At 43.9% G+C, this 8,321-nt stretch overlaps 1 long non-coding RNA gene across 1 annotated transcript, besides 1 other annotated feature; it reads left to right on the top strand.

Moving 5' to 3' along the window:
* The first annotated feature begins 1,189 nt into the window (after positions 1–1,189).
* LOC124901623 (uncharacterized) lies at positions 1,190–7,618 on the top strand. Its single transcript, XR_007060301.1, has 2 exons — positions 1,190–2,487; positions 3,624–7,618. It is a non-coding gene; the product is annotated as an uncharacterized LOC124901623 (long non-coding RNA).
* Positions 3,702–3,861: an enhancer, noted in NCBI's record as "active region_25971". NCBI's record gives its function as "activates an Ori minimal core promoter by ATAC-STARR-seq in GM12878 lymphoblastoid cells {active_cell/tissue: GM12878}" and the evidence as "EXISTENCE:reporter gene assay evidence [ECO:0000049][PMID:35858748]".
* Positions 7,619–8,321: the final 703 nt, after the last annotated feature.

Genomic DNA, 8,321 nt, shown 5'->3' on the forward strand with positions numbered 1-8,321 from the left:
ATCACAGGGGCAGCTAAAACTGTCTTTGTGCAGCTGAGTCATTTCCCAGGAGGGAAGGTGGTCTCTGGACCAGGAGGTGTCTCTTTGTCTACTGAAATGCTAAATCTGAAAACTATCTCAAAGAGCAATTTTTTTTTTTTTTTGAGACAGTGTCTTGCTCTGTTGCCCAGGCTGGAGTGCAGTGGGGCAATCTTGGCCCACTGCAACCTCTGCCTCCTGGGTTCAAGTGATTCTCCTGCCTCAGCCTCCTGAGTAGCTGGGATTACAGGCTTGTGCCACCACACCCGACTAATTTTTGTATTTTTAGTAGAGGCGGGGTTTCACTGTGTTGGCCAGGCTGGTCTCCACCTCCTGACCTCCGGTGCTCCACCTGTCTTGGCCTCCCAAAGTGCTGGGATTACAAGTATGAGCCACAGCTCCCGGCTTAAGAGTGATTCTTTAGGTTTCACAATAGTGATGTTCTCTATAGGAGTACCTGGAGAAGTTAGAAATCTTGCAACCCCTCGTTGTGTGACTCTGGGGCAGGAAGCAACCTGTAGAAAAACAAACTAAGCAATGGCAGGTCATTGTTAATGATGACTATTCTTTAGCAAAGTTCAATCCCCTACCATAATTCTAATCTTGTCGTACGGATGCAGCTTCAGTCTCTAAACAAGGAGGAGGATCAGTTTCCCTTGCCTCAAATTTAACTATAAACGAAATTCTTCTCATAGTTATCTTGGCCTCTGCATGACAAGAAGCAAAACAAGCAAACAAACAATCAAACAAACCAATTTAGCCTGTGAGGTTAGAAGCAAGATGGAGTCATTCGTGTTAGATTTCTCTCTTTACTTACAATTCTGCAAAGGTGGTTTCAATAGGCAGGGCTCTCTCCACTTTAGGCCCAGGCAGATTTGAACTTTGCTCCTGGTGCCCTATCTTCCAGGGCAGGACTATTTCTCTAAAACACATGGCCTCTTTTCTCATATCATTTAAGTCTTCTAGGTTAGCTTTTCCCAACCATGGACTGGAGTGCAGTGGCACAATCACTGCTCACTGCAGCCTTGACCTCCTGGCTAAGGTGATCCTCCCATCTCAGCCTCCGGAGTAGCTTGGACTACAGGTGCATGCCACCATGCCCAGCTAATTTTTATATATTTAGTAGAGATGGAGTTTCACCATGTTGGCCAGGCTGGTCTCAAACTCCTGGGCTTAACCAATCCACTAGCCTCGGCTTCCCAAAGTGCTGGGATTAGAGGTGGGAGCCACTGTGCCTGGTCTGGTATTCAGTTTAGAGCAGAATATTCATCTCCATCACCAGTTCAAAGGTGAGTATCTGTGTGGCTACTGTACTTGCTCTTGTTACTGAGTGGAAGCCTGGACTTGTGAACCTCTTCAGGGACCCTCCTTCTCTCAGGAGGGCAGTGGGCAGCCCTCAGTCTCCCTGGCTTATTGGGGACATGCTGCCTCTCATCCTGTGAGCTCCAGTTGGAACCCTTGAGTTGTCTGAGAGGTAAGATGGGCTGGGCCCCATCTAAAAAGACAATCTGCTGCTTCCTCAACACCAATGAATCCCAAATTGTCAGAGCTGGAAGGACATTTTTTGATTACTGGTAGATTCCACCCTACTTCTAAGGACGCTATAGATGGGGAGGTGGAAACTGGGGCCGAGGGAAGTCCAGGGACTTACCAACACCATATCTTTAAATCTATTATGATTTTTTAAAAAGTCCCTGTTTGGGATGGAAAGGCATGGTCTAAATAAGCCCTCAAAGAAAAGCCATTTTAGGACATTTTTGCACTTCAGGACATTGGCTTATGGTGGGTCAGGGGAGTGGGGAGTGTGGTGTCCAGTCTCTGCTGGGTGATGCCTTAGATGTTGATATCAGGGGGGTACATGAGCTCAGGTGTCATGGGGTGCATGGGGCAGTGTCCTGGAAGGAGGATGGGCAGCAGTGGTGTAAGGAGTTCTCCGGCTCCACAGGTCCAGGGCCTGGCTCCTTGCCTGTGCCTTTGGCTGAAGCAGAGAATGGCCCCAGCAGCTCACCCATATATCATGGGGTGGCCAAGGCACTCCTGTGCTTAGATGTCCTGGATTTATGGCGTCAACTGGACAAGGTGCTGGTGCCTGTGCCTTCTGTCTCTGCTCTCCCAGCCCCAGCAGCACCAGCTCCTCCGGCTACCTGGTGCTTCTGGTCACCCAGGCCCTGCAGGCCCCAGGCCTCCTCCTCCCCAGAGCCTTCACTCAAGCCTTCCCCCTCCCTGCAGCCCCACCTGCTGTTTCCCCACCAGGGGGACCCTCCCCCGACATCCCGCACAGCCTCCATCCAGGCAGGGACTCCTGTGATGAGCTGCCTGTGAGGAAGATGCCTGGAGACTGTGTCTGATCCATCTCTGAACCTGGACAAGCTTGGCTTGTGGGCGGTCGATGAGCATCTGAGGAATACATGAAAGTGACTTTCAGAGGCAATGTGGACGTCCCCATCTGCTCCCATCTGTTCTTCTTAAGTAAGTTATTTTTAAATTTTAAAGCAATATATAGACATGGTAAAATGATAAGGAAGCTGTAGTTCTCCCTAAACTTTTGTCACCTAATCTTGTCCTCTGGGGGATGAATAATCAGCAAGTGGCATTTTGGGCCTCAGCACAAAACAGCCTTTTCAGGTGTCAGCAGGTCAGACTTTGGTGCTTACAGAAAACTCGGGGCCACTGCGGTGTAAACGCTCTAAGTGGTCTGCAGACCATGAGGAGCTGATGGAAGGAGACCCAAACATAGCACCGACAAGCAGGGAATGAGAACAACAAGAAGGAGGGGAGGCCAGAAGAGGAATTCCCACTGGATTGGACCCACGCAGTTCTGTAGTCATGGCTGGTGTTGTGTTCCAGTGACTCTGATAGGGGAGAAATCTCACTCTACCTTTCCTGTGGTTTTTGAAAATAATCTTGGTTACGTTAACTGTGTGTGGTAAACTGCATAGAGCTCAGTTCACAGCATGGATTTGTACGGGGAACATTTTTGTTGTTTTCATTTGAGCCAAATTAAAGAGCTCTTCCAGGAAGTGTCTGGAAGCTTGGTCAGGAAGGATGGGTCCTGTCTGATGGCTACAGGCGAGATTCTGGTGCCCAGATTGGGCGGGCAATATCAGTGTTCCCGCCCTTTATTGATTGGCACTCCATAATGCTTGTTCCAGAGCAACTTCTGGCCAAGGCGTGCCGCTCTGGCTTGGCTGCTGTCATTCCTAGTGTCTGGGGTCTGCCCATGTAGGGCCAGGTGCCGCAACCCAGAGCTCTCTCAAAGCCCCACTGTCCAGGGGCAGCAGCAGCCCACTCATGGGAACAGGGATCCACATAGGTCTCAGGAGGAGAGGAAAATCTTGGCTAGGGACCCTAGTCTGACACTCTATTCCAAAAGAGGCAGCAGGAGAACACTGATGTGTCTGTCCCTGAAGGTCCCAGCTCTGGTTCAGGGTATACTTTTCTCCCCAGGGATAGGGAGGTTGAGGCTCAGGACAGTATAGAGTGGCCAAAGCTGTTATAAGAACTCTCTGTCCAATATTTGGCTTGAGAAAGAAGGAAACTTGGAAAGCAAGGGGAGTGGTTTCACAAATAATCAAACTGAATTCCAAGCCTTGTGTCTTTTCCAGCTAAGGAAAGACGGTTGAAGATTGCATCATCAGACTTTCCAGTTCAGGATGAAGTGTACTTATGAACAGCAACCATATGCAGAAACTAAAGACTCAGAAAGTTCTGCAGGCTTTCTTGGAAACTAGACTCTATACAAGAGAAATAGAAACTAAAAGCAGCACTCAGAATATTACCCAAGGATAATGAAAGCAAATGTCTCTCCCCAGACCCATCAAGAGGTAAATGTGTATGAAGCCTCAGGGCATGCCTGTTGGGGCAGAGGCTCCTCAGGGCTCTTGGGAGTTAAAATGGCCAGAGAAAACCAAACCGCACCCAGCCCCTGCTCCTCCCTGACTCGGTCTCTCTGCTTTTCGTTCTTCAGTGTTACTGTGGATATGATAGGTTTTATCTCCGCCTTTTGGCTCTTTGCTTTCTTCTGTCTCATTACTGCATTATTTCTTTTTCCTCCTTTGCTACCTCCTTTTGTCTTAAATGGATGTTTTAAATATAATATTGTAACTTCTTTACTCATTTAAAAAAGTGTATTTTTGAGTTATTTTCTTTTTGGTTCTCTAGGACTTATATATATATACCTTAATGTGGAATCTATTTCAGATTTATACTAGCTTAATTCCAATAAGATATAGAAACTTACTCCTATATTGCTCCCTTCTCTTCCCTCTTTTTTTTGTGCTATTACTGTTATACATATGACATCTACGTATGTTACAAACCCAACAATACACTGATGTAATGATTGCTTTATATGATCTCATGTCTTTTAAAGAAGCCAAGAGACCAAAGAACACAAATGGATTTATTGGGTTTTAAAAATAGTAACATTATTATTTACCATTTCTGATTCTTTTCATTTCCTCCTATGGCTCTGAGTTACTATCTGCTCTCTTTTTCTTATGCCACTTCCTTTTCTACCCCTTTTGCCACTTTCGTTTCCACTCCTTCTGTTGTATTGTTATTGTAAAATATATTACATTCTTGTCCCTACAGGCCCAATAATGCAATTTTGTAGATACTATTTTATGCAATTTTTTTTACATTAGCTAAGAGGAGGCATACAGAAAAACTTAGTTTTTGTTTTATCATTACCTGTATCATTACCTTTACTGGAGCTCTTTGATTTTTCCTGTTTATTCAGATCACTTTCTGGTGTCACTTACTTTTAGCCTGAAGAACTTCCTTTCATACTACTTGTAAGGTGGGTTTGCCAGTGCTGAATTCCCTTAGCTTTATCAGTAAGAACAGTAAAATACTATGGCGCTCAACTCCAGAGTTTCCATTTGGCTCTTTTTAGCTTTACAAATTATTTCTAATTTCTATGTCTTCATTAATGTTCTCTATTTGGTGAGTCATCGTTATTGTACCTTCTTTTAATTCTTTAAACATGGCTCCTTTTGGTTTTTGACCACATTTATGATAGCTGCTTTGAGTTTATGTCTGTTAAATTCCAACACCTGGAAGCCCTTAAAGGCAAAGGCAGTTTCTGTTGCCTGCATCTTCCCCCACCCTCACTGGGTGTGCATTACACTCCTTTCTTTAAGTTTCATATTTCTTTTGTGAAAAATTGGACATTTTAGGTAATAGCAGATCTGGGTACTGATCTCTACTCCTCAGGAGTTTGTTATTGTTTTCTTGTCTGCTAGGTCATTTATTTAGTGGCTTAGCTGTATTATCCAGTGAAGTCTATATCCCCCAAAGTGTGCAGTCCCCGAATGCTCCCCTGAAGGCATAGGACATCACCTGAACTCTCCTCCTCTAGGGTTAACCATGTTTTTGGTGGAGGTCTCTGACTGTCTGTTTCTCTGATATCACTGTTGAACTTCTACCTGCCCTGCCTCTAGTATTCCATCCAGGTGTTATCCTCCACTAATTGCCAGCTGATTGCTGTTTTTATTGTCAGGCCCTGAAGAATAAATTGTCCCCTAGTCTGATCCAATTAATGTCTTTCTGCTTAGCAGGACTTTCTTTGAAGCTGTCTTTGAGACTTACTGACAGCCTCAGGAGAACTCTTCTTAGCTCTCGCTCTCTTTTTCTCTCTGTTGAATTTCTAGCTGATCCTATTTCACTCGTTGCCATCATGGAGCTACCAGCTTACTTTTTTTTTTTTTCCTGAGATGGAGTCTCGCTCTGTCACCCAGGCTGGAGTAGAGTGGCACTATCTCGGCTCACTGCAACCTCTGCCTTCTGGGTTCAAGCAATTCTCCTGCCTCAGCCTCCTGAGTAGCTGGGATTACATCCACCACCACACCCAGCTAATTTTTGTATTTTTAGTGGAGACTGAGTTTCACCCTGTTGGCCAGGCTGGTCTCGAACTCCTGACATCAGGTGATCCACCCACCGCGGCCTCCCAAAGTGCCGGGATTACTGTTAATTGCTGATCATGAAAATCTCAACTGTCTTTGATCATGCCCTTAGGCATTTCCCTATGCTCTATTCTAAATGAAGTCAGTTCCACTGGGGAGAGCTATAGAGCTCTCTGTCCTTACTGATTTTCTCTCCCTCTGAGAAGCTCTGTGCCACTGCTCTGAAGCTGGGGGTCAGGATGGTAGCTTGCTTCTCTTGGAGTAACACCCTGCTCCACCCTTGGGGTGATGAGCATAGTCAGTAGACTCTGGTCTTCTTGGCTTCCCTATCCTGGCATTGAATCTCCATCCTATAAGCAAGCTGGTTTGAGGACAGTTGGGCCCAGAATTTTCACCCTGCTGTACCTGTGTAGAGCTTCTGCCCTATGAATGGGGTTGGGTGGAAGAAGAGATCCCAAGAGTTCTCAGCCACATTTGCCAGAATTAGAGATTCTTCAACACAGAGCTGAGGTGGGGGAATGAGAAATGTTGGTGTCTTGCCTCTCCTAGCGAATAATTATAATTCTAGATCAGAAAGTAGGGGGAGAAGGAGCCTCATCTTCTTGACTCCACCTGCCCAGAGTACAGGTCTCATCACACAAGGGGTTTGTTGAAAGAGTAGGTTGGTCCTCAGATGCCATAGTACGTTACCGTTCTTTTTGAGATTATTCAGATTCTCCTGAATAGTGTTTCTCCATTTGCTGTATGCCTTTGGGACAATTTCCAGAAATTTTAAATGATTGTTTTTGTTAAAAAATTTTTTTCCTCCGCCAATTATTGTCATTTTGCCGAGAATAACGTTTGCAGAGCTCCTCATGCCACCATTCCAGAAGTGCTTGCCTTTGTTTTTGAAAGATATTTTTGTCGGGCATGGGAGTCTAAGTTTACACTTTTTGTATGGTACTTTAAAAGTTTTGCTTCACTATCTTCTTGCTTGCCTTGTTTCTGCTGTCATCCTTGTCTTGTTTCCTTTCTGTGTTTCATGCCATTTTCCTCTGGCTAATTTCAAGATTTTCTAGTTGCAAGTATTTTGGTTATAATATGCCTTTGTGTATTTTTTCATGTTTCTTTGGAGCTTCTTGAGTTTCTTGGATCTGTGATCTTATAGCTTTCATTAAATTTGGAAAAATATTTGGCCCTGTTTTTTTCAGACCTTTTTTTTCCTGTTAACCCTCCTACATGATCTTGATTTAGCAACTCCAACTCCATGTTTATTAGGTCGCTTGAAGTTATTCCTCAGCTCACTGGTGTTTTTTATGTTTTTGAGTGAAAACTTCACTTTTACTTCACTTCATTTTCAATAGTTTCTATGGCTATGTTTTCAAATTCACTATTCTTTTTCTACTTCAGTGTCTAACCTGTTGTTAATCTCATCCAGTGCATATTTCATATCAGTTATTACAGTTTTCACCTCTAGAAGTTTACCTTGGGGTTTTAAAAATACTTCTGTGTTACTATTTTAAAGTATTAAATCTTCCCTTTAGCTTTTTGAATATAGTTATAGTAATTATTTATATGTTTTTATGTCCTTGTGTGCTAATTTTGGTCCGTTCTGGGTCACTTTTGATTGATTGATTTTACACCTTATTATAAATTGTATTATCCTGCTTCTTTGCCTACCTTATAATTTTTGATTAAATAACATGTATTGTGAATTTTTTCTTGTTTGTGCTGGGTACTTTTGTGTTGATAGAAATATCCAGAGTCCTGTTCTTGGATGCAGTGATCTTCACAGAAATCATTTGAATCTTTCAGGTCCTGCTATTAAAGTTTGCTAGGCTGTACCAGAACAATGTGTAGTCTAGGGCTAATTATTCCCCTCTGCTAAAGTTAGACCCTATGAGTACTTGATTCAGTGAACTGTGAATTACAAGGTTTTCCAATTTGGCTGGTGGGAATAGGTACTGTTACCAGCTCTGTGGTACTGGGGTAGTGTAAATACTGGATCCTATTTTCTCTAACCCTTTGAAATGGCTCTTTTCCTGGCTTTGGGTAGTTTCTTCATGCATGTACTGATCATTTTTAACTGAAGACTCAAGGAGAACCCTCTGCATATCTTCAGAACTCTCTCTCTGTGCAGCTTGTATCACATCTTGTAACATGTCCTGAAAACTCTAGTCCCCTGAGTTTCTCAGCTCCGTATTCTCAACTCCCCCTCTCTATTCTACAACCTGAAAATTCTCCTAAGACAGGAAGCTGGGGCATCCTAGGGCTCATCTTGCTTGTTTTCCAGCTCTCAGGGACCATTGTCCTTCATTATTTGATGTCCAATATTTTGAAAACGGTTGTATTTTATAAATTGTCTCTCCTTTCCTTCCTCCCTCCCTCCTTTCTTCCTTTCCTTTCTTGCTTTTTCAG

The sequence above is a fragment of the Homo sapiens genome, chromosome 7, assembly GCF_000001405.40.
Source record: "Homo sapiens chromosome 7, GRCh38.p14 Primary Assembly".
Lineage (NCBI taxonomy): Eukaryota > Metazoa > Chordata > Mammalia > Primates > Hominidae > Homo > Homo sapiens.